At 38.1% G+C, this 27,025-nt stretch overlaps 1 protein-coding gene and 2 long non-coding RNA genes across 3 annotated transcripts in view; 2 read left to right on the top strand and 1 right to left on the bottom strand.

Moving 5' to 3' along the window:
• The window catches only part of SEMA6D (semaphorin 6D), a 590,140-nt gene that overhangs the window by 155,718 nt on the left and 407,397 nt on the right, over positions 1 to 27,025 (bottom strand). The window contains exon 4 of the mRNA NM_001198999.2: positions 17,615 to 17,646. The gene's annotated coding sequence lies outside the window, so the exon portion shown is untranslated. The remainder of the gene's footprint in view (positions 1 to 17,614; positions 17,647 to 27,025) is intronic.
• On the top strand, positions 12,051 to 14,627 carry LOC105370804 (uncharacterized). Its single transcript, XR_001751513.2, has 3 exons — positions 12,051 to 12,253; positions 13,159 to 13,229; positions 14,326 to 14,627. It is a non-coding gene; the product is annotated as an uncharacterized LOC105370804 (long non-coding RNA).
• Positions 16,304 to 18,122, top strand: LOC124900620 (uncharacterized). The gene is made up of 3 exons (XR_001751514.2): positions 16,304 to 16,385; positions 17,122 to 17,199; positions 18,040 to 18,122. It is a non-coding gene; the product is annotated as an uncharacterized LOC124900620 (long non-coding RNA).

Below are 27,025 nucleotides of genomic sequence, written 5' to 3'. Positions count from 1 at the left end.
TGAAGTGTCCAGTGGACAATGCAACTCATTGATTGAATGCTTTACTTTTCAGAGGCTTGTGTAGGCAGAGCCACAGGCAAGTCTCTTCTGAAAGTGTTGCCATGGCACCAGCCTATTGCTTTGCTGGTCCAGCCTCCTTTGCTTTCCAGGGCAGTCCTTTTAGAGCCTCGGTCAGAGGGTGGCTTGCCTAGGTCAGGCAAAAACCTCCTCGGATTGTATGGTTTTTCAAATAAATGAGCTGCTCTTTTAGGACAGTCTGATTTCAGTTATGAAGTACCTATTAACTCTTTATATTTACAAATTACTCAGCTTTTTATTGTTGTTGTTAGCCATCTAAGCACTGAAAGAGTGCCAATTAAGTATTATCCCCATCTTACAGACAGAGGATTAAAGCCCAGCAAGGGTTAGGTCACCCAGCAGGCTACACTGGGGCCAAAATTGTTTCTCCTAGTTTGAATATTCTCTGAACTGTCTTCTGTGTTCCCAAGAATAAATCAATAAAAATGCATTAACCTTGAGAATCAACTCAATTAAGGGAGAAGAGACAAGGAATTAGACGAGACATCTTATCAGGACCATACCAAATGGATGCCCAGTGAAATATCAGTTGGAGGAAATGAACTCAAATGAGAGGGAGATGTTAAGAGTAACTAATAGTTACACAGCATCTAGCTCTTGCTTTGTGCCAGGCAATGTTCTAAGTGTTTATATAGATTAACTCAATTAATCTCTAGCTCAGCCCTAAGAGGTAGGTACCATCCCATTTTACAGGTGAAAAAACTGAATCTGTCGAAGTCTTGCCTTAGGTCAACAGATCTCAGTCTAAACCAAACACAGGAATTTAACTCTGCAGGGTATATTTAGAAACCGTGCTAAATGTTTCTCAAAGAAAGAGAGAATGTTCTACAACATTCCTGTATGTTCTAAAGTGGGAAAAAAATACAAAGAAACAGAACCAAACCAAAAATACAAAACTGGCCATTTTCCTCTTTCCTGAAAGCCTACTTCTGTTATGGTGTCACATTCAAAGCAAATCAAACTTTGTTTGTGGCAACTTTTAAAAATAGTAGAAGTTTTTACTGACCCCTTCCTAAAGAGGCCATGAAGAGGTTGAATTTCATCATGGAAGACATAGTAAAACTTTGTCCCATTAGCAACTACTTTTCGTAGTCCCCTTAGTCTCGCTAATTTTCATTGGCCTGTTATCAACTACTAACTATGATTTTCTCAGCCAGTTTCCTCCAAGCCTCCAAGCAACAGACTGCAGTCTGAAAGATGATGAATTCCTTATCCTCTGCCAGAGAAGGTAGGTAACCTTGGAAGAGACTGGAGAAACAGTAACGAGCTCCAGCTTCTGAGGGAAATCTTGACTGAACTTGACTAACCAGGAGATCAAGGTGGAGTGATGACTTTGGCAAGCAACTCACTGTTGGGCTCATAGAAGGCAACAGCTCACTCCTGCTAACGATCATGCCTGGGAGCTAAGTTTGCTGCTGCAAGTCTTGGCCCTGGGCTAACACGTGACTAGAAATTCAGGTGTAAAAAAGCATGTATGCCCAAACCAGCTGTTTCTTAGCAGTTCAGTTGAAGCTGCTAAGGAGATCGAAAATACTTCTCAACATATGTGCAATGCTGTCTAGAAGTCATAGAGCTGTTGGGAGAAGGTAAGAGGGCTGGGGTTTGAATTCCATAAAGGAGAAAGAGAGTAAGGTGTTAATAAAGAAATGTGTACAGCCTATACAACACTGGGTGTACAGTCTTTTATTTCCAACATCTACTTTTCCATCATAGACAACTCAGAGTCCCAGTAGGCAGAAAGTACACACAAATTCTGTCGTAGCCAAACCTTTCACAGATGCATCATTTACCCACATAAATACCTACACACTTAAACAATACCTTGTCTAGGATCATCTTTTTTTTTTTTTTTCCTCTTTGGAGAGCAATCACATACAGTCAATAATTCTTATACTCGCTCTCTCTTTTTAAACACCTACCATTGTGTCATAGCCAAGTAGAGCACTGAAAATAGAGATTTTTAGGCTGGGTATGATGGCTCACACATGTAATTCCAGCACTTTGGGAGGCTGAGGCAAGTGGACCACAAGGTCAGGAGATCGAGACCATCCTGGCTAACATGGTGAAACCCTGTCTCTACTAAAAATACAAAAAAATTAGCCAGGCGTGGTGGCACGCACCTGTAGTCCCAGCTACTTGGGAGGCTGAGGCAGGAGAATCACTTGAACCTGTGAGGTGGAGGCTGCAGTTAGCTGAGATTGCACCACTGCACTCCAGCCTGGCAACAGAGCAAGAGAGACTCTATCTCAAAAAAAGAAAAAAAAAAAAGATTTTAAGTCAAGGTCTAGACACTTGAGTATATAACAAATGAAAGAGGGTGAGAGATCGGTAAATATTAATTCAAATAAGACGTAATCATACTTGAATATGCACAAAGGATTAAAGGTGACCCAAAGTGGATGCAGCTAATTTACAGGAAGACTTTAGGGAGGAGGTATTATTTAAGTATTTGAATTGGGCCTCAACATGTGTTAGGAGTTTCCCAGACATTTAGAGGAAAAATGTGCTCTTCAGTAACTGGATAATTCATGGCACTGTATACTTTTGATTTAAAATGCAAAGCTCATGTCCCTTTCAGATTTTTAACAATCCATCTGAAATGGTTTTCATATTTTTGCTTTATTAATGCAAATGCTTTCGCAAAGAGACAATTTCTGTACAGGGCTTGCATGAGTGTCAAATAAAATAGAATTTCCTTCTTATGTGTGGCACACTTTTCTCTCCTTTTATTATACTCATTTGGACTGATGTGGTAATAAAAGGTCCCGAAGCCAACTATTCAAATACATTAGAATTCGTGACCCTTGGGTATTCCTTATTTGTTTTCTTTGATAAGGATTTTTTTTGCAATAGGTGAAAAACAAAACCCTAAAACTTCCTCATCTTTGCAAAATAAACACAAGAAGACAGTTTCGTAAAAAAATACTTGTTTTTGTGTGTATAAATGAAGCCTTAATTTTTACAGTTAAAAAAGAGAAAATAACTGTGAGAAAACTAGAGTCATGGAAGTTGTCATGTATAGTCATCCTTGGTATCTGTGCCATTGGTTAAAGGACCCCTGTGGATACCAAAATCCACAGATGCGCAAGTTGCTTATATAATATGGCAGAGTATTTGCATACAACTTATATACATCCTGCCATATACTTTAAATCACTGTCGATTACTTCTAATGCCTAATACAATGTAAATGCTATGTAAATAGTGATACTGCATTGTTTTTATTTGCATTTTTTATTATTGTATTATTTTTTATTGCTATTTTCCAAATATTTTTGACCTGTGGTTGGTCGAATCATACATAATTTGTGTATATGGAAGGTCAACTTTATTAGGTTGAAGAAAACATTTTTAGAATGCCCCTGGGATTCACCCTGAGTTCCAATCATTTCAGGCTTATTCCCTAACAGGTTGTGGTTGGCACATACTAGGGCCTTGAGAAATGTATCTGTTGAATGTATGGAGGAAACAATAATAAAAATAATTGACGAAAATTGGCCAGACATTAAGAGAAATGTTATCTCATTTAATCACCAGATTAAACCTGTAGGATGGATATTGTTATTAACCCCATTTTCCAGATGAGGGCACTGAGGCTCCAAGGAATAAGTAAATTGTCACTGTCACACATGCTAAGTGGCAGAGTCTAAATTCAAGCCCAGAAGGGTCTGACTCCTAAGCCTTGTATTTCAATGATTGTAGATCCTAAACCATGCTAGGTCCTGGATCTACAGAGACTGGAGGGTGGGAACTCTTAGGGAACACAAATTATACTGGGGAGTTGATACGTGCACCAAAGTACTTAGTGAGATCAGAAGGACTATGAAGATAGATGTGTAAAAGACACTGGAGCTGGGAGGAGGGACTGACTGGCTGACTGCATAAGGTCTCATGTCTCCAGCTGGGATCCAAATGACTTTAGACAGGAAGCTCAGCTCTTTCAGAGGGGAACAAGAAGCTGGAGAGAAAGAGGGATTTGAACTGCAAAGAATTAAATGAGGGTTGTCAACTTAAAGAAGGAGTTTGGCACTTGATACAACAAACAGCAGCAATGTTGACCCATTTGAACCATCTGAATGGTTATGTATTGCCTGCCATGACTGGAGGGAGCTGACAAAACTCCTAAGTGTGCTGCATGAGGTGTTTGCAATGGACACTGCGAATCTTGATCATCCAGAGAGATGCCAGGGAAGTGGTTTGGGCACGCACTTTGTAACTATGTTTTGAGGCAGGTTGTTTGTGTGTGTGTTTCTTTTTTTCACCTGATTCATTCATCATTTGTTTTTTGCTTTGTTTTATTTTATTTAGATTTCTGTAATGGGATCTTTGGGGCCTCTCTACTTACAGGGTAGCTGACATTTTGTAATGAATTAGAACTGGATATAAAAAGGCTTAACTGTCACTTAGTATTAATGGCATTAAGTTGTACAAATGGTACTAAATTTAAATATTCCTTGAAAGAATAAGATTCATTTAAAAATAAAGTGGCTGGGCGCGGTGGCTCACGCTTGTAATCCCAGCATTTTGGGAGGCCGAGGCGGGCGGATCACGAGGTCAGGAGATTGAGACCACGGTGAAACCCCATCTCTACTAAAAATATGTATAAAAAAATTAGCTGGGCGTGGTGGCGGGCGCCTGTAATCCCAGCTACTTGGAGAGGCTGAGGCAGGAGAATGGCGTGAACCTGGGAGGCGGAACTTGCAGTGAGCTGAGATCGCGCCACCACACTCCAGCACTCCAGCCTGGGTGACAGAGTGAGACTCCGTCTCAAAAAAAAAAATTAAAAAATAAAGTTTTGGGGGTCTCTGAATGGTCCAGATATACTGTACTTCTAAATATTTTCTTTACTTACAATTTGTCCTGTAAGCACCATGACGACAAAGGAAAAATGTTAAATGTTACTCATCTTAGTATCTCACCCTAAAACTGAGCACTACCTGGTAATTTTTGTATTATGAGTGCATTTGTTTGCTATCTTCCTCCGAGAGAATTTTAAGCTTTCTGACTGAGGAGGCTTTGTCTGTCACATTCACTACTGTATCCTCAAAACCTGGAAGGAAATTGATGCATACAGGGGCTCAATAAATATTTGATGAGGAATGCACGAAATATTCATTAAAACAGTGCTGAAAATGCAGTGGAAACTTAAAATGTAACCTAATGAATGAATAAATGAGGCTCAAACCTACCCTTCCACCAATTGAAGGTGTAGGATAGAGTGAGTTGAGGTGAAATATGATTATTGTGTGACGGTGTATGTGTGGGGGTAGAGGCTTTCTCAATGCTGTGATTGCAAACAGTTATTTAGCTCCAAATTATGTAGAGGTACATATTTGAAGTTCCTTAGATTTTAGAATAATCAGATGTATTCTTTATCTCAAAAATAATGGAAAAATAAAGTCTAATGGTAGGCTCCACAGAGTTTAAAATTCACCAACATTATGTTTTTCATAAAAACATTTACAACATTCTGAAATGTGTTCTATGCTTTAAATTCTACATTAGCATTGTTAAGGCATTTGTTAACTACAAGATCTAGAAAAGAAGTTGTAAAAGTTGCAGATTTATAGCAAGTTGCCAAGAGAACAATTGTTTGATATCATTTCATTTATAATAACTCACCTATTTGTCAATCTCAACATTCCAGACACCAAAAAAAAAATAAAAAATAAAAAATAAACAAGGCCTTTGAGTTGCCAAAACCATCTTCATAAAAGTCTGAGTGCTAAAGCCCATACCCTTCATTCACAAGAAAGTTCATTGAGCCCTTTCTCTCTGACACATTTTCTAAGCCCAGATACAATGCAAGGAACAAATGAGAAGGGTTTGGGGACCACTAGAGACAGTGAGAAACCACAGTAGAAATCCAGGAAATTAGAGAAAAGAAGTAATAACTATGAAAAGGAGCATGAGGTATCTACAACCTTAGCCCTCATGGCATCATTTTGGATAAGAGCTTCTTACACCTCACCGATTTTTAACGGCATTACTCTCTAATGTAATAATGTACTGTGTTAACTTTGCCCCAAAGGAAGAAATACATTGAATTTCTTCTGTTTAGGTAGGCAAGGGACTGATGATTGCATTGTATTTGTATTTTGTTCTCAAAATTGCTTATTTTCTCAGTAGAAAGTTCTGTCTTAGTCACCATGAGCCCTTAGGTTGGTCACCAAACTGCAGGCTCAATTCTTTTAAGGGGCCAATTACAAATCCAAACATGCAAAGGGACAATGGTATGGCCTCAGGGGCAGCATAAAGAGCATTGCTTTTGCTATGAAATTTATACTCTGGAGAGTATATCATTCTCTCCAGAACAACCATTCCAATGCCTACCAATCAGCTTCAACTCCTAACCAACTAATTCCACTTTATAGACATGATTTTCTAAACTCAGGATAAAGCCAAGGAGCAGAAACTCACATCTCTCCTTTCTGTTCTCATTCATTTCCCCTTCATTCCCTCACACTCTATTTTCACCTGGCATCTTTATTTCTGCACCTTTTTCTCAATGCCACTGTTAAGCAGTTCTTACATGTATTTTCCATCGGGCACTGGCTCCACTTCAATGTGGCCACTTTGTTTCAGCTTAATCAAAACCACAGTCTCTCCAAAAACATAACTTTTGACATTGATTTATCAACTTTCACTTTAGTGGCTCTTATGGGATAAGCTTTCCTTCCTTGCAAACTATTTAATGCTTTTTCTAGTGCTCCAGGACTGTGACATTTGCACTAATCCTTTACGTCTTAACTATCTGTAAACATTGTTCTAAGATTTACGTTTCTATACAAGGCCACATTTTTTCTTTATCAAATTAATGTATGTTCATTACAGAAAATATGGACCCTATAGAAAAATCTATCAAAAACATTCCCTGTAATTACGTCAGCCTAATGATAAGTATATTTTGTGTACTTTGTACATATAAACACACACACACGTTCGTTATATTGTATACAAAGTGCTATAATCTGGTTTTTCACTTAATGTTTTGGCTTGAGTATTTTCCCAAATCTTAAAAATTGTGACTATTTTCCCATTTTTAAAAAATGTATTGCAAAATCTTTTAATACATATGATAGCATGTTGTCATAACTAAATCATTTATTGTTAGACATGTAGGGTATAAAAAAGGCAAGGTATCTTGCAGCTGAAATGTAGACAAATGTAAAGACTGGTATCTGTAGCACAGATTCTGTAACTAAGTCCTAGACTCCTACATGTTTGTGTGTGCTTGTGTGCATGCGTGTGTGTGTGTGTGTGTGTGTGTGTGTGTGTGTGTGTATGTAGGACGGTGGCAGTGGGTAGGCTAATCAATTATGTGCAACCTTGACTCAGGTGCCTTTGCTGTTGCCTCCTTAGGCTGGGATTTCATATGTTCTCACCACTAGGTGCTGCCTACATTAGGAATGACGATAAAGCCTCAGTCATTTGTGTGCCATTTGCCATGTAAAGACATATGCTCTGAGCATATCTAGCTGTTTTAAAATCTTTTTAACTGCCATATAACATATAGTCATTCCTTAAATAACTTAATCCACTTCAAAATGAGCTACAGTAGTATCTGTTTCCTTTCCTGTCCTGCTTTCTTTCATTCTGCTCTCTACTTTGGAAACAATCATGTTGGGCATTTCTGCAGCTTATTAACTATATTTTCAGCTGTGGAAAAACACGTAAGTGCTGGGAAAATTTCTTTTTTCAATATTTTAGCATAGAGTATTGCTACTTATATTAAGAATTTGGAAAAGAAAAATGGTACCAAGACTAAATTATTATACTCCGAATGAGTGAGATATATCTAGGAAGGAAGCAGATGATGAAAGTGATTTCTTCAAAAGAGTGAAAAATGATAAATGTACACATGGTGGCGGGGGCGTTTGCCTGAGCTTCAGCCTGTTACTCTTCATCATTAAGGTTTAGACATGTCTGCAACTTTTCATCACACAGGTATTAAGGGCATAAAAAAACATGTATTCAAATAGAGCCCAGAGTTTTTCTTGAGGATGAGGAGATGTGGTTAAAGGTGAATCCACTGTTGGAATTCAAATAAAGCTGGGCATGTGTGTCGAACTTATGTGGTGGTCCAGTAGAAGTCTAGAAGGGTTAGGCTGTGGCACTAATTATCTTTCTGGGAAGAACTCACCCTAATGGAAGAGAGAGCCAGTGGGGATAATCTTGCTTATATACGTTTCCTAGGCATTGGTGAAGAGTAGGAAGTCAGCCTACGGCCTGTATCCTGAAACGTGGCTAGGTCCTGGAGGAAGAAAGGGCTAGAAGCAAAAATAGAACCTTTGTGTTAAACTGTCTAACTCACTGAGAGTCAAGAAATACTTCCTTAGTAAGACCCCTCTTTAACCACAGAAGAAATCAATTCTCCTCACTCTATTGCAGGCTGCTGGACAGTCTGGATATCCTCAAAGCAGCCACCAGGAGATAATGACCAGGCTGGATCGAGCAGGAAGAAAGACAGGGTCATTAGGCAGAACAGAGCACACATGCAGCACCTAATGGATGCTGCAAAAGGCAGCAGGGCTGCTGAAGCCACAGGGGCAGTGGCAGGCAGTGGGAGAGGGTGTCCTTCCTGGTGGAGCCTCAAGTAAAGTAAATGCAGGTGCTGAGAAAATTGCTTCTGAGTACACATGCGGTATCACCTGGGAGTGCCTGGGAGGACTTGGAGAGGGGCACATTTACAGTTATGGACTTCCTGCATGAGCAAGTAGGGCATAAATCCAGGTTAATTGGGTTACGGGGATAAAGATTTAGTAAGCCTTTTGACTTACACATCACATATATATGCTATTTTAGTGCAGAAAGACTTAAATTTTAAATATGTTTTAGAAGCAGTGAAGTTCAAAGGCCTCCTTTGGGGTCAATTAAGACCTGCGTATATGTACCTTCAAATGTTTAAGGGAGTTGCTCCTCAATTTAGGGGCAGCTTAAGCGAATACGTACCTAAATAGGCAGAAAAAACTGGCCACTGAAAAGTCTTCTGTTTTCTGTTTTTAAACTTGTAGACTCATATTTGTACATTACATCAAGCTCCAAACATGTAGGAACATGCTGGTCACAATAAACTAGTGAATTCTGCCCCAAATATATATCTCAACATGGTTTTTCCACTGCAGCATGGTATACATTCATATCCTTCCCTCTATATCTTCTTATTTCATTTACAAGTGTTTTATTTATTAAGATCTATGTAATGGGCTGTAAAGGTAACATAGACGCAAAAGTTACAGACAGAAACCCTATGGTTACTCCATTCTTCTATTTGTTACACAATCCGTGTTATGGCACAACTAATATGGTCACTTAAATGTCCCAAGTCTGACAGTCAGTGAAAATTCATGATACAACTTTAAGCTATTGTATTGAGTGTTTATGTAAGTTCAATGAATATAGGAAGAACACATTGAATTCTCACCTATAATGTTTTCTATAAATGTGTGAACCAGAATCAAATATATGAACATAGGCTAGAAAAAAGCAGAGTGTTCCGTAATAATTCAAGGAGTAAAATGTATTAATGCTTATTTTTGTATAATTTATAGCTTGGTCCTGTAGGAAATTACTGGAGATTACAATGACATTCAAAGGTAAAAGGATTCAACATTACAAATGTTCCATTTAATTGTACCAGAAACAAGGTGCTGAAAGTATGATTTAAATACATATACTTCAGATTTTGGGCAGAAGGAGATTGAATTATTGTTGAATTTGGATCCAGAGAAAATATTATATAAGGATTATATATACATATATGATTTACACATAATATACATTAATAGGTAATGGCATATATATGTTCATACCCAAATATAGGAGGTGATTTGATGCTTATGAGTTCTTGAAACACTGCTCTTTAACTGGGAAGAGAAATTATGAAGGGAATAATGAGGAAAAGCAAAAAAAGTAGCTTTCCTCCACCAGATAACAGTTGGTAACTTTGCAATTTTAATGAAAATCTAGCAAATCAGGTATTGTACAACTGTTTTCTCCTCACCAAAACAGGTAAGGAGGAAGCTCATTTTCTACTGTTGAAGTCTACAGATGAAAATTCCTCTAAAAGTAAAACCATCCCCAGTAGATGTAATTAGTCCAGTTTTTGGTCATTAATAGTTCATTTAGGTTAATCTAGAAAATATAATTGCCAGTGACAGAGGAGGAGGTAAAGAAGTTTATGAATCAGTAATCTATGGATTAAATATTTTTATGTCTTTTAAATCATCTAAGTAAGTAAATTACCATCATGTTCCTTTAAGGAAACGGCAGAAAATTCAAGTCTACTCCCACTCGGCACACAAATGAACCATTCCATAATAATATTATCTTGACTGCAAAAAGAACAGTCTTTGTTTACATGTAAGCTGGAAAACTTTTAAATAATAATCTTGAGGGTGGAGAATATACAGCACTCTCTTAGGTCAAATTATGACCACAGTTATAACAGACAGTGCAAAAAGCTTTGAAAGGGATAAGATAAGACAAAGAGAAATGACAGGAAAACAAAGTGGCCAAAGAAATGTTTGGCAGAAGCCCAGCATACTCCTGGCATCCTCTCCCTAGGCCTTTTGCCTGTCTGCAGAATTATCACTTATCTTCCACCAGCTTCTCTCTCTTTAAAGAAAGGCCAGTGTACCCCTTCCAATGCTTCATCAATACCTCACATGTCACAGAGTACAATGTAAATGGGCTACAAGCCCATATTTCATGGTTCTCCAAAACAGCTTCTCATAAGAACAAGGTTACGCATTTGCAAGATTTATAAAACAGAGGGCTGAATCTTAATTAGGCCTGCACTGTTAAATGAAAATATTTTCTTAGACACATTGGCACTTTTCCCTTCAAGCCAATAATGCTCTCCTTCTCAAACTGTCTGCTTGCTTGTTTTAAATAAAAGGTAAGTAGATATTTACTTAGAGTGATAGAGGAAATACACACCAACTACTTGGTATAGTAGGTAGGTGGAAAGGGACAAGGATCCAGATGTTCTGAGTTACATGCTGCTGCTGCCACTAGCTTGCTTTGTCACCTGGAGACAGTCATTAATCTTGATGAACCTCCATTTGTCTGTCTATAAATTGAGAAAGTAGGAAATTTCTAAGGCTGCTTGTTAGTTATATGATCTGTGATCTAACCATATTGGTCAATTATAAAGTGTCATGCCAGAGATAACATTTTATGGGTCAATTAGAGTATGTGGTGACTGACTGGGGAAGTCATATATGATTTTAATAAACTTCTTTTTAAAAAGAAATGTAAGTTCTACAAATCTACTAAACATATTCCTAGATCCTTGATCTCACCTTCACCAAAAGGTATCTATCTGATCAAGTCCTTATCATAATTTTCAAACAATTTTATTTAAGCCTTCTTAGGCTAGTTTCTAATTTGGCACAAGAAGGTTCAATGTAGATCATCTCCCTTGATTCTTGGATCTTAAGGATGGGAAATTGGAGGTCATGGCACAATTCAGCAGCAAGAGTATTAGTGCAGCCCAGGTCCTGTGGTTTGGGCCAGGCATCTCTCCATTGCCAGAGGTTGCCTTCAGAAGTCTGAATGGGACACATAGCCCATTTTCAGGCCTTGAGAATTCCTGTGAGAATTTCAAGCAAGCTTTTGTTTCAACAGCTCACATGTGCAAGGGCCACCAAGAGTTTAGTAATGTAAATAGATAACATGTCATCATTTAGCCAAGGAATCACATTATGAGCATATTCAAACCACATTCAAAAGGACACCAGATTTCCTTGAAACATCTGTGGATAAAGGAAGAAAAATCATGGTGGATGTGTAGCCAGCCTCCAACATGGGCTCCAATGATTCCTGCCTCTTGGTATTCAAGTCCTTGTGCAGTTTCCTCCTACAATGTATCATAATTGGTCTTTGTGACCAAGAGAATACAGCAGAAGTGATGGCATGTCACTTCTGAAGCTAGGTCATAAAAGGTACTGTGGCTTTGTGGTATAATAAGAAAGACATTCTATCTTTGTCCATAGTGCCTGGCACAGAACTCCTGTTGAGGAACCCCTGTTCCCTCAAACCCCTGGAACACCACACAGAGAACTATCTCCAGGCCTGGACTTCCCCTGACTTGGAGACAGCCTTATTCTCAGATCTCTCTCTCTTTTAAAATGGACTATCCTCTTTACAACCCAGAGAGCCCCATCCAAATGTAAGGACTGGTCTCCAAGGGGGAAGGGGAGGAGGGATGCCATTTAGGGTTATAGATTCCCCAACTCTGCCAGCTCTAACTGGCCCCTGAGTTGCTACTATGTAAATTAAATCTACCCTGCACCACCCCTCTGTCTCTATATATATAAAAAAAGTAGTAGGGTGATAGGAGCATATGTGTTCTAATGAGGCAACTCTTAGCAAGCCTCTAGATAGCTTCAGGATGGAGGCAGGTCATCAGAAAGACCAAGCCTTCATTAGAAGCTTGGAGCTTTCAGCCCCAACCCTCAACCTCCAGGTCCAGGGAAAAGGGGTTAGAGATTGAGTTAATCTTGAATGGTCAGTGATGTAATTAATTGTGCTTACTTAATAAAACCTCCAAAAAAGCCCCTAAACAATGGAGGTTTAGAAGAGCTTCTGGGTTGGTGAACACATGGAGGAGCTGGGTGAGTGGTGCACATGGAGAGTGCATGGAAGCCTCCAACCCCCATACCTTCTATGAATCTCTTCCATTTGGCTGTTCCTGAATTGTATCCTTTATAATAAACCTGTAATAGCAAGTAAAGTGCTTTCCTGAGTTCTGTGAGTAATTCTAGCAAATTATTGATCCTGGGCTGCCTGGTGGGGATCGGGGATGTGGTTGGGGAAATGTCCGAGTTGGGGAGGTGCTGTTCTCTGAAAGGTAGCCTAAGACACCCCATCTGCAGTTGGCATCTGAAGTAGGGGCAGTCTTGTGGGATTAAGCCCTTGACCCAGGGGTGTCTGCACTAACTCTGGGAATTGGTATCAGAATTGAATAGAATTGTTGGACACCCAGTTGGTGTCCGAGTTGGTTGGTGTGAGTAAAAGCCTCTTAGATTTATTGCTTGTTCTCTTTTCCTATCTGATCCTTTCTCTCTGTCTCAGATCACTCATTGTGGAAGAAATCTGATGCCATGTCTTGAGGACACTCAAGTGGCCTATGGAGAGGCGAACATGTAAGGAATTGAGCCTCCTAGTAATAGATAATGAGAAGCAGAGGGCTCTGCTAACAGCCATGTTAATGAGCCCTTGGGGAAGTGGACCCTCCACTCCCAGCCCAGCATTCAGATGGCTGAGGTACCAACATCTTAGATTTGCCTCCTGAGAGACCTTGCACAAAACCACTCTCAGATTCCTGACTCTCAGAAACTATGTGAGACAGCATGTGTTTGTTTTAAGCTGTGAAATTTCAGGGATATTGGTTACACAGCAGTAGATAACTATTACAGTGAGGCCGGGTGCAGTGGCTCACGCCTGTAATCCCAGCACTTTGGGAGGCTGAGGCAGGCAGATTGCGAGGTCAGGAGATGGAGACCATCCTGGCTAACATGGTGAAACCTTATTTCTACTAAAAATACAAAAAAAAAAAAATTAGCCAGGCATGGTGGTGGTGGGCGCCTACAGTCCCAGCTACTCGGGAGACTGAGGCAGGAGAATGGCATGAACCCAGGAAGCAGAGCTTGCAGTGAGCCAAGATCATGCCACTGCACTCCAGCAAACTATTACAGTGAATAATTCCTTATAGCTACTCCATTTTACAGGCATTGTCATAAAATCCACCAAGGATGGATCCTAGAGTTTTAAAAGAGAAAGAATCTAACAAATTACTCTCTGAATTTCAAACACAACAAATATTGTAAGTGTAACATATATTGTATGTTAATGAAAATTCTGAGTATTTAAAATAGTTAATTCAATTTGACAAAGTTTCAAGTTTCAAGACGTCTCCTGGACTACTTCTTCCATAATTTTAATTGAAGCTATTAGCATATCCCTGTTTAGTTGTCTTTAAATAAGTAGTGGAAGGATACCCACTTCTACCCCTAAGAAATGAAATAGCTTAAGACTTTCTAGGCTTTATTTTTCTCTTAAGTTTATCGGACCGGATGGATTGTAGAGTCTTTTTAGGTATTACATACTGTAATAACAATTACGTGTTAAGCACTTTCTTTATGTAAAGCTTTAGTCCACAAACTTGGATGTGAAAGAAATGTTTCTCTTCTTTATTTTTTAAAGTCAAATTAATTTGGTTTTTGATCTTTATCCTTTCAGAAAGACAAGAAACCCAATCTCAAGCACTATGAGACTCCCTCCTCTCCATCTCCAAGGGTCAGGCCATGGTCTTAGTCATTGCCAAGAGCATCACAGAAGGCCTCTGCCTCCGGTTCCTACCTGGGCCCTTTCTATGCTCGTTAACTGATGCTGCAGCCTGACTTCTTCAAGACTAAGTTGGGCTGTATGCTTGCAGTCATGGGAGGAAAACAAAAGAGGGTATAAACACAATGCAATGCCTCGACACATCACTCCATCTCAGGGGGTCAGAAAATAAATTAAATGTTAGGAAAAACAGAAAAGAAATAAGCAACATAGTGCCAGCCTTTGGGTTCTTAGACACTCAAAAGGAAACAGAAAGTACAGAAACAATACACCAGGAAATAAAAGAGGGCGTTTTTAGAAGTACCATTTAAATTGCAAGGGCTGCAGGAATCAACAGAAGGAAATAATCGGGGCGAGGGGGAGGGGACTTAATAAGAATAATAATTATATATATTCCCTCAAATTTGTATGGAATTTATAAATTACGAGGGACTTTTCGCACATTTGTAACTTCATTTTAGACACGCACAATGAAATTAAGTAAAATGGGGTTGGCGGGACAGATGGTAACATCTTTATTTTACAGATGAGGAACTTGGACTCAGCTAGCTTTGGCGACTTGTTGAGAAAGTCAGAACCAGTTAGTTGTGGAATATAAAATTGAGCTCGGCTCTCTTCCTACCTAGTCTTTTCTCTGCTCCGCTCCCACACTTCAGTGAGAGTTGCTTTCCTGAAGGAGTAAGTTCTAAAGCAGGATTGGAAGTTCCTATAGGGACAAAGAGAAGAGGCATCCATGAGTGGCAAGGAGTGTGAAAGGGATGAAAAACACATAGGAAGAAATGGAGACAGGCAGAAGGTCCCAGCTACAGGACAGAAAAGCCAGGGTGTGGGCTTCTGAGAGATGATGCTGAGTGGTGAGTCACGGGTGACTAAGGGAGCCATTGACATCAGATTGCAAATTCTCCCCTCCTACCCCATGATGAAGAAGTTTATCTCCTATATCTCTTTATATATGAAAAACCATAAAGAAAACACCAGTATCTTCACATAATGTACCATCCAATGAAAGCATACGCCATCTCACTTGGGCCCTTTATCAATCTTAGTCACAGTGCCCAATATCATTTCCATTTCTCATTCTCTGAGTTCTGTTATCCAAAGCTTATCCTCTTGCCTGGACTATAGAGACAGAGGTGAAATCTTTGAGAAGTGGATCCTATCCACTTGTCATTACACCTCTGTAATTCTTAGTGATGTTCTACGTTGCCTCCCACAGTGACCCTGTACAAACCATTGCAAGAGTTTCGGGGGTGGGGGACTGTTACTTGAGCCAACTTCTTCCATCCTGCAAAGGCAGGGATGGAGCTCAGGAGATGGTGTTTTGCATCTTTACAACTGGAACAAGATGAAAGGTCTCTGAAGCAATAATGAGATCCAGGCTTGATTCAGGACAAGAGGCCAGATGGGAACAGTAGAGCATTAGGATGTTGTGATGCTGGGGTAACCTTTCCATAATGATGTTGTGTGGCCTGAAGTTTGATGCCAAGAATCTACAGTGATTTCTGGCTTAGAAATAAGAAATTGATCAGTAAATGAAAAAAAAAAAAGTCTACCTGTATCCAATCTCTCCCCACAAGCCCCCCTCCCAGCATTGTTATCTATTTGTATACACAACAGTATTTTAGCAAATGAAAATTCTCAGAATTCTAATCACATCCTTATCCCAAAGCCTGGATTTAGTCAGAAAGCTTTATGGTGCTTCTGACTCAGTAGAGTTAGTTATCCTGTTTAATTGGATTGACGGTGACAATTGTAATTACCTTAGATGAGATTGCCTGTAATGTAATTATACTTCCTTCATCAGCATGAGCTGGACTTGTGGAATACATACAGAAGATGCCTCCAATTACTGAGAGGTTAAGAAGAACATTATATTGCCTCACAAATCCTGTTTGTTACTGTATAGAATTGTAAGAATTATGGAAGAAACTGAAGGAATTACTCCTCTAAAGCAGGTTTGTGATCCAAATATGTTTCTGTTTCATAGAGTAAGATGACTACATTCCAGAGCTATATTTTTGTTTAAGTAAAAAATATATTTTAAGAACTCAATATGGGGGTAGCAATAGTAAATCTGGTATTTTATTATTATTTTGTTTCTGCTTATTATGTACAAACAGCGACTGCATCTAAAAGACATTTTTAAAAAGCATACAATACATAATGAAGTTTAACTTGACTTTTTCTATGATCTGAAACTTACAGTCTCTAGAATTAACATAGTAAGTAACAGGAGATAACTTTAAAATACTAGTCTTTATGAGTAGATGGACCCATAGTTAATACCTAGAAAGCCAGATGCTCTACTACAATGATAGCTTTCTCTATTTTCCAATTAACACATGGAGAACTTTAAAATTTTCAATTGGAAGCCCAGCCTCTCAACAGGACATTTCTGCCAAACGTATTGCAAACACATGTAGTTTAGGAGAAATGGCACATACTAGAAATCCACCCCAATCTTATTAGCTTTACCATTGCTCTCATTAAAAATAGAGCTGCTTACAGGTTTTTCCTTCTGAAGCATATGAAACATAGAACTTGGAAATGTGCCCTTTTGAAAACTTATTCCTGTATTCACAAACCAGATGGTGCACATCAAATGCATTCTGATTTTCTAATGAAATAAAAAAGGATCCCTATTATGTTATTTAATGTGATTAACACATCCTCAATTGCTAATTTTTACAGATACTCCTGGAAAGTTACACAACTTGGCTAATACTCTCCTGCTAGAGTTGGACAGGAAGACCTTACCAAAGCTGAAAGGTTAGGGCTGTGCTGGGGGCACTTTGCTTTCTAATTCTTCCAAAATAGGCTTTGGAGAGGTGCAAGGCCCTGTCACAGCTGCTCACAAAGAAATCTTCTTCTGTTTTTGAACATCAGAGACAAAGAGTCTGCTGTATCACAAAAGGGCTGACTGGGCAAGAAAAAGATACACACACACTGTCTCTCTCTCTCTTTCTCTCTCTCTCTCTCTCTCATTCTCTCTCTCTATTTCTCTTAAGACCAGTACTTAGTCAAGCAATATTCATAGCATGCTCGAATCACTAACATCACCAGTAAACTCTAATTCTGAGCACCATTTGAACGTCTCACTCATGACATACAGCAAAAACTTATCTAAAACCAGTAACAATTCGCTGGATTTTGCCAACAAATTGGAGAACAGTATGTTGTTTACCTTGAAAAAGGTTGGCTTGTCTGGTCAAAAACCTGAAAAAAGAAAAGAAAAGAGAAATGGATTGATTTTCCATTACTTCTGACCTTTAAAACCACAATACTGAGTTAAACATAGTTGTGGTGTGCTTATTAATTTAGTAAATCAGATTGTCATTCTCTAATTTTATGTATCTCTTGCTTAAAGTAATAATGGCTTAAGCTAAGTTGGATTCTAACCTGAATGCAATTTCTCTATTGAATTCCATTATTAGTTAGGAATATGTTCAGCTGAGGAAAAGCATCCACCAGTAGACCAGAGTAAAACACCATGATAGGCTAGACACTGTGCATGTGAAACATCTGTTTTGTTGTTGTTGTTGTTGTTGTTAAACTTTTAAAACTTGAAGATCTCTGGTCAGCTATGTCTTATTTTATCTTCTTCTACAGATAAGAGAAACATTTGTTTGGGCTGAGGCAGCTGTTTCATGAAATGCAACATCATATCTCATTTTTCTTCATGAACTTCTCTCATTTAACAATTAGGCTGGAAGAACACACATTACCAATAGGTTCAGTCGTATAACACTCAGAACCTGGAAATAATGAGTTGGAAGTTTCAGATCCTACAAAATAAATCAGTTACTCCATCAATTCTATAATATAAGGCAAAGAATCTGAAAATTGAAGGAAGATATTTTGAACAACACTGTGCAAAAGCTATTGCTGAGTTAGGTATTCAGTTAAGCCAAACACCACGCCTGGTTCTCAGTTTGTTTTGCAAAAGCATTTATTCTACATTTTAAATATGCACATGTTTCAACTTGGGCTAGAAAGACTTAACTAAAAATAACACCACTATCACCAAGTGATGCTATGGTTGACCGATACTCCAGGATTTGAAAAAAAAATTCCCCAAATGGTACAAATTCCCCAAATGCTACAAATTCCCTAGGAACTGGAAGCTTTTCCTCTCCTTAAGGTGAAAGACTGCTTCTCCTCTTGGTGTTTTGCCATTAAAAAAAGAAAGTATTTAGCAAACAACTAGCAGATCCATCAAAAGGTTAGGATTCTTTTTATTTTAGTGCTCTTTCTTAATGGGCAAAATTGATTGATTAGTTCACCTGGAATGTTCTTAGCCTTAGGGCAGAAACAGAGCTTTGTATGCATTAGTGGACTGGGTTTATAAAAGAAAAAAGTCCACATTCAAGAATACAGAGAATTTCAAAAATACAAGAAAATAGAAAAAAGAAAAACAAGGTCTGGAAGCATATTAAAATTCTTGTATTCATTAAAAATCAAATGGCTGTGTTTTCAGTTGTATTGAGTTATCATATGTGCACTGGTTCTTTGCCTTAGTTCCAAATGTACTCATATTATCATCTCTAAATCCATCTGGATAGTTTATACAGTGAACCCTGGAATCACCTTAGTTTCTCCAAACTCCATCTACTTTTTGAGAAAAAAAAAAAGCGTAAGGCAGACCTTTCCCCATTAGATCTCCAACCTCTGTTGCTCCCTTCCCTCACTTGTTGGTAAAACTACTTTCTGGAAAGTTTGTTTACCTTTCAGACAAGACAAGGGGTGAAACAGAGGAGCAACAACCTCCTTGCCGTTGGCTAGAATGAAGTGAGGGGAGTTACCAGGATGCAGTGGTATTAATCCCCTGTTACTCTGATGTTACCTCAGACCCTCTTCTATTTATTTGGCCATACTCCCAGCACAGTGATTTACATCTTGGAGGAAGTAGTATTTAAATGTATGTGCATAAGATTCTGTTGGGGAGTTTATTAACAATGCAGATTCCTGAGCTCTAGCCTGCTCTATGAAATCTGCATCCCTAGCAGATTAGCACCCAGGAATGCTCATCGATAAGCTTTTCCAGCGAGTATGATTAGGTAGGTGGTCTCATGACCACATTTTGGGAAACACAGACTTAGGATGATATGAAAAGTGACGTCAGGCTGTGCTAAGTGCCAAGCCTTGAGTGGAAAGGTGTTTTAAGTCGCTATCTCATCTCAGAGTACATAATAAATATTTAAATTTGAGAAAACTAGTATATAATATATAAGTAAAACCTGTTATTATTTGCTATTGTTTTTCTTTATGGTTTCCACACAGATATCTGATCTGCCTTAAGCATTATTTGCCTTGGTGATCTGTAAATTCCTGAAAAAGGGCGAAAGCTTAGGTGACATACACTCTAATTAATGTGGCCCTCATATACTGTTTAAGTAACAGAACCCTTACCACTTACAGCTGGAAAGACTTTTAAAAAATGTAGCCCAAGCTTTTTAATTTTTTCAGGTGAAGACGCTTTTATGCAGAGAGATGAACTAATGTAGGAATCATTTTGTACAGGGGAGTGGTCTGAAATATTAATGGGCTATTTTAACCATCAGCTTGAATAATTCAAAGGTGTCTGCTTAATTCTTGTGCTTTCCCAGTTCAGATGAAAATATCCACAAAGAGAACTATGTAAGTAAATACAATTAATCATAATCAATCATGTACTGTCTTGGATTTCCCTAAAACCAAAACACTGAAATGGACACATGACATCCTTCTGGTCCTAATTTTCCACCAATTCATGAAACATTTCATGCTTTGCTTGGGACAGCACAAATCTTTCAACCTCCAATTATATTAATATTATGAGGGCACTGAAGTGCCCAAATGTGACATGAAGTCCTTGAGTGTGGAATGGCCTTTTCCAATAGACATACAGTTTGCATAAATGGAAATGAACACAATATTATCACCCCTTGAGATTTCCTGGTTTTGGAACAAAGAGGTGGTGGTCCTGGATGCTTTACAGTATAATCTCCTTTTAGAGATTCTTAGTGCACAATATTATAAATTCAGAGTTCTTCTGAAATAAAGAAAAACATTACCTTTATTTCATCCATCATTTAAAAAAGTTATTTACCCTAGGAAACACTGAACACAGTGATCTTTTTTAAATTTAGTTTTTTAAATTTAATTTTATTTTTGACACATTATAATTACATACAATTATGGGGGTACACAGTGATGTTATTTTATATGTTATATATATATAATATATATATATGTATGAATGATGTGGAATGACTGAAACAAGCTAATTTCATATCCATCAACTTAAATAGTTATCATTTGTTCCTGCTGTCTAACTGCAACTTTCTGCCCTTTGACCAACATCTCCCTCATTCCCCATACTCCCCACCCCCAGCCTCTGGTAATCACTAATCTACTCTCTGCTTCTATGAGTTTTATTATTTTAGACTCCATATATAAGTGAGAACATGTAATTGTTCTTCTTATGTGCCTGGTCTATTTCACTTAACATAATGTCCTCTAGGTTCACTCATGTTGCCTCACAAAACAGATTTTCTTCATTATTAAGGCTGTATAGTATTCCATTGTGTATATATATCACATTTTCTTTATCCATTCATCCCTGGGTTGATACTTAAGTTATTTCCACATCTTGGACACTGTAAATAATGCTGTAATGAAGATAAGAGTTTAGCTATCTCTTCATAATACTAATTTTAAGTCCTAGACTACCTACCCAGTAGTGGAATTGCCGGACCATACTGTCGTTCTGTTTTTAGTTTTTTGAGGAATGTCCACAGTTTTCAATAATGGCTGTACTCATTTACATTCCCACCAGCAATGTACAAAGATTTTCTTTTCCCCCATCCTCGCCAATATTTGTTATCTTCAATCATTTTTTTAGTAATAGGCATTCTGACAGGTGGGAAGTAATATCTCATCATTTCCCTAATGATTACAGATGTTGAGCATTTTTTCATATATCTGTTGCCCTTTTTAAAATTGAGTTATTTATTTTTCTGCTATTGAGTTTTTGAGTTATTACATATTTTGGATATTAACCCCTTATCAGAGGTATTGCTTGCAAATATTTTCTCTCAATCTGTAGGTTTTCTCTTCACTCTGTTGTTTGCTTGCTATGGAGAAGATTTTTAGTCTGATGTAATGCCTTTTGTTTATTTTTGGTTTTGTTTCTTGAGTTTTTTGGGTCAAATTAAAAAAATAATTGCTCAAACCAATGTTGCGTAGTTTTTTTCTCCTATGTTTTCTTCTAGTTAGTTTTACAGTTCCAGAACTTACATTTGAGCCCTTAACCCATTTTGATTTTATTTTTGTATGTGGAGAGAGATATGGGTCTAGTTTCATTCTTCTGCATATGGATATCCAGTTTTCCCAACACTCTTTGTTAAAGCCACTGTCCTTTACTGATTGTGTTCTTGGCACTTTTGTTAAAAATTAATAGACCATTGATGTGTGAGTTCATTTCTGGGTTCCCAATTCTGTTCTATTGGTTGATGTATCTATTTTTATGCCAATATGATGTTGTTCTATGTACTATAGCTTTGTAATATAGTTTAAAGTCAAATAGTGTGATGCCTCCAGCTTTGTTTTTCCTGCTCAAGATTGCTTTGGCTATTTGGTGTCTTTTGCAATACTATATAAATTTTAAGATTTTATTCTATTTCTGTGAATAAATGGCATTGAAATTTTTATAGGAATTTCTTCAAATCTATATATTGCTTTGAGTAGTATGCACATTTTGGCAATATTAATTTTTCCAAGGCATGAAGACAGAATATATTTCCATGTATTTGTGTCTTCAGTTTCTTTTATCGATGTTCTACGTTTTCATTGTAGAGATCTTTCACCTCTTTGGTTAAATGTATTCCTAGGTATTTTAGTTTTTGTAGCTATTGTGAATAAAATTTTTAAATTTCTTTTTTGGATAATTTGTTGTTAGTGTATAGAAATACTACTGCTTTTTGTTTGTTGATTTTGTATCCTGCAACTTTACTGTATTTGTTTTTCAGTTCTAATGGTTTTTTTGATAGGGTGTTTAGGGTTTTCTATACATAGGATCATGTTGTCAGCAAACAGCAACAATTTCACTACTTTCTTACTTAGATGCCTTTTATTTCTTTCTCTTGCTTAATTACTCTGGCAAGGACCTCTAATATTATATTACATTGAATAGAAGTGGTTAAAGTGGGCATCTTCATGTTGTTCCTGATCCTAAGAATAACATGCCAATAAATTGGATAACTAGAAGAAATGGGCAAACCATAGACACATATAACTTAGCAACACTGAATCAAGAAAAAAAATTAAAATCTAAAAAGATGAATAATAAGTAAGGAGACTGAATCAACAATAAAATTTTCTCCCATCAAAGAAAAGCCCAGGACTTGATGACTTCATGGGTCATTTAAAGAAGAACTAATACCAATTTTTCTCAAGTGCTCCCTAAAAAATAAAGAAGAAGGAGTACTTTGGAACTCTTTTCATGAGGCCAGCATTACTCTGATACCAAAGCCAGACAAAGACATTACAATAAAAGAAAATTATTACAGACCAATATCCCTGATGAACATCAATGCAAAAATCCTCAACAACAACAAGAGTACTAGTAAACTGAATTCAACAGCATATTAAAAGTGTGATTCACCATGATCAAGTAGAATTTATCCCAGGGATGCAACGATGGTTCAACATATGTGAATCTATAGATGTGAAATATCATATTAGCAAAATGAAGGACAAAAACCATATGCTAATCTCATTAGATGCAGAAAAAGCATTTGATGAAAAATTCAACTTGTTTTCATAATAAAAATTCTCAACAAACTAGGTATGGAAGGAATGTACCTCAATACAATAAAGGCCATATATAACAACCCTACAGCTGACATTAACCTCAATGGTGAAAAGTTGATTTTTAAAATAAATGTGATTTTTGTCTCTTTTTTACTAGACCAACATTTGATTCCTATTGGCAAACCCCAAAACTCTGCAATGAAGGTCACAGAGACTTTCAACCTCTGGCACCTATCTTTCTTCTCAATTAGCCCCTCACCTGGATATCTCCCAGATTCCAGCAAAAGTGAACACTGTTTCCAGGATTCACTACACCACTTCAGCCTCCATGCCTTAACATGTGCCATTACCCTTGCTTGGAATGCCTGTGTTCACACTCCTCTACACACAGATACACACATGCCCTCAGACACCATTCTTCCAACCTTTTCACCTGACAAACATCTGCTCCTCCTTCAAAATCTACCCCAAACACTATTTCTATGGAGCCTTTCTCAATCTTCCTAAACTGGGTTACTTCCTTCCCTGTGCTCCCATTTTGGCTATTTCTAATTATTCTAGAATACTCATCAAACTATAAATTATACTTTTCTGTGTAAAGGTCCACCTCCCTCATTAGACTGGGAGCTTATTGGAAGCAGGTACTGCCACTTACTTAATAAACATTCAATGCCTACTCTGTTCTGAGAAGTTCATATCCCAAAGTATAGGTCCTGGAACGGTGAGTGTCAGTATGTGATGGGTACCCAATAATGGCTGTTTTAAAGCATAAATAATTGAACGTCTCCTGCAAATTCTCTCAATGATATAATGATTGTCATGAACTACCTACTTACAATTTATCTGCAGGTGTCCCTGAGAAACACACATGGAGGTGTCTTAGTTGTTAGTAAGGTGATGGGTATGCTAACTTCAGAAATAGGAAATCATTTTCAGAATAAGTACTGGCCTTTAAAGAGCAAAAAGAAAGGGAAACAGAGGAACAGGAGGTGGAAAAGAAAACCAACCAAACCTGGGACCAGGGCAAAAGAAATGAACTTTCTCTTCTTAAAGGAGGAAGTTTGTTTGTACCTAGGGAAAATGGGAATAATGAGTTCTATAATAGTGATTTCAGTTCTGTAGAGAAACAAATATTATCTTTCATAGTGTTTAAGCCTTGATAGCATCTGTCCCTCTTGCTGCACAGGAGATGTGAATTATGTTGTCTATGCACTGATGAATTAAAATTGCCTCAGGCATTGTCAACTGTGATGACATTTGATACGGTTTGGATCTGTGTCCCCACCCAAATTTCATGTGGAATTGTAATCCCCAATGTTGGAGATGGGGGTCTGGCGGGAGCTGACTAGCTCATGAGGGTGGATCCTTCATGAATGGTTTAGCACCATCCCCTTGGTGGTGTTCTTGTGATAGAGTTCTCATGCGATCTGGTTGTTTAAGTGTGTAGCACTGCACCGCCCTCTTTCTTGCTTCCACTCCAGCCACGTGATGCACCTACTCCCCCTTCCGCCATGATTATAAGTTTCCTGAGACCTCCTCTGAAGTGGAACAGATGTCAGCATGATGCTTCCTGTACACCCTGTGGAATAATGAGCCAATTAAATCTCTTTTCTTTATAAATTACCTAGTCTCAGGTATTTCTTTATAGCAATGAAAAAACAGACTAACATACCACTTCACCCTGGAATCTTTTCCCTCAAATTTTTAAAGAAGGGAGAATGTCTTGGTGTTTGAAGCTTTTTTTTTTCTGATTATTTAAGTCTTTTCAGGCAATCGTCCAAACCCAGGGACTTTAAAGTCTTCATTTTTAGAAATTTTCATGTAATTCTCTGTTTGGATTGACGGTATAGAATTTTTTTTTTTTTTTTTTTTTTTTTTTTTTGAGACGGAGTTTCGCTCTGTCGCCCAGGCCGGAGTGCAGTGGTGCGATCTCAGCTCCACTGCAAGCTCTGCCTCCCGGCTCCATGCCATTCTCCTGCCTCAGCCTCCTGAACAGCTGGGACTACAGGCGCCAGCCACCACAGCTGGCTGATTTTTCTGTATTTTTAGTAGAGACAGGGTTTTACCGTGTTAGCCAGGATGGTCTCGATCTCCTGACCTTGTGATCCGCCCGCCTCGGCTTCCCAAAGTGCTGGGATTATAGGTGTGAGCCACTGCGCCCAGCCAGATCTTTTTTTGACTAATCATGAGACAAAAAGTAATGAATGCTTCTGAAATTCTAGACCAAGTTAGAGTCAAGGACACTTCACAGAGAGGTACTGCTGTGGCTCTCAGGAAGAGATGAAAAGGCAAATCTATCTTTGTATGATCTGTACTGTGCCAAGACCTAGCTTTGTTTATTACATTAGTGAATACGTTCTCGAAGGTTATGTTCATTATGGCACTTTATCACTAATCTGATAAGAAAAACAATTAAGGTGATTGCCAACATTGTTACTTTTCATAATGAGCAAAGCAATATATATGCAGTTACGATGAATAATCATTGGATGCAATGTATTATGGACTACAGTTAGAATTCATTTGTCAATTACAGAGCTACTATACAATGCAAATAAAAATTCTACAATCTTTTCATGATTTTCATGAAGGGCCCTTCTAGATGCAAATTTTTATTTATGCAATTTTCATAGGATGCAATTTGACATGGTCTCTGTCTCTAAACCAAGGGGTTTGTTGTAAACACTCTATTTAGCTTGCAATTACCATACAGTTAAATGACTAATCACAGAAACTCACGCCATGATCATTGACAAAAATGGCCACACTCAACACAACTGAAATTAACATTGAGGAAAATGGGTCTGCCTCTCACCCACACCCAGCCAATCAATCACAGCAAAATGAACTAAATATGGCTGCTTTCTAGGATGAGATACAATTAATCTGTGCAGTCTGAGTCTGAAAAATTCATATGTTAGGTACTGTTTCCCCACTTTAAATACAGTAGTATGCCACGAAGGGAAACATGGAAGGACTGGTTCACAAAGTCAGAGTAAGGCATTCTCTAAGTATGTTTAGATGAGATGTTTGAATTATTTTTCACATTTTTCTTCCCTTCTCTTGTGGCCTACGAAGTATGAAGATATTGATTTTTAATGAAATGTACTTATGAAACAGTGATTATATTTTCCCAGCTTCCATTACCTTGATTTTAGAAATAACATCTAGTTCGCTGACTGCTGGAGACCTAGATTAGGGCTGGAAAACTCAGGAAATGTCAATAAGAATGCCACTGACAGCAGGAAACAACTGCTCCCCCAGGATTTCACTCTCATTCCCCTTTCCAAAATTTATCATTTAACAATGACAGATGCTGGGGTCTTGTGGTGTATGTGACCGTAGTTAGCTCACTTTCCCATTCTTCACTGTGGCTCTTTCCAAATGTCATTCTCCCCAAGCTCTCTCTCCTACCACACTTCTTTCTTACCAGTGTCAGCACATAACTTTGCTTCTTCAGACACAGAGACACTAGATGCCAGTATATGAAAATTCTCTCAACATCCTGAAGCTGCTGTACTCACTCCCATATGTCATTCTCCATCCACACATTTGCTGTGTCTCTATCCATCCTAATCTGCTTCTCTCCTGATACAATGAAACAGGTGTTTTTCCTACAGTCTCAGGCTTAACCTGCTAATTAAATTCTGGAGCCTATCCTCTCATAGCCCCTCTCTCACTGTGTAACTTTTGAGCTTAGGTCAATAGAAGTCTTGTTCCTTCCACCTGGGTCTCCTGGAACACTTGCTCTGGGGGAAGCTAGGTGCCATGTAAACAAGTCCAACACACCTGGCTATGTGGA

Source organism: Homo sapiens, chromosome 15, assembly GCF_000001405.40.
Source record: "Homo sapiens chromosome 15, GRCh38.p14 Primary Assembly".
In the NCBI taxonomy this organism is placed as follows: Eukaryota; Metazoa; Chordata; class Mammalia; order Primates; family Hominidae; genus Homo; species Homo sapiens.
Note: the sequence above shows the minus strand (reverse complement) of the source record. Positions and strands in the feature narration are given on the sequence as shown.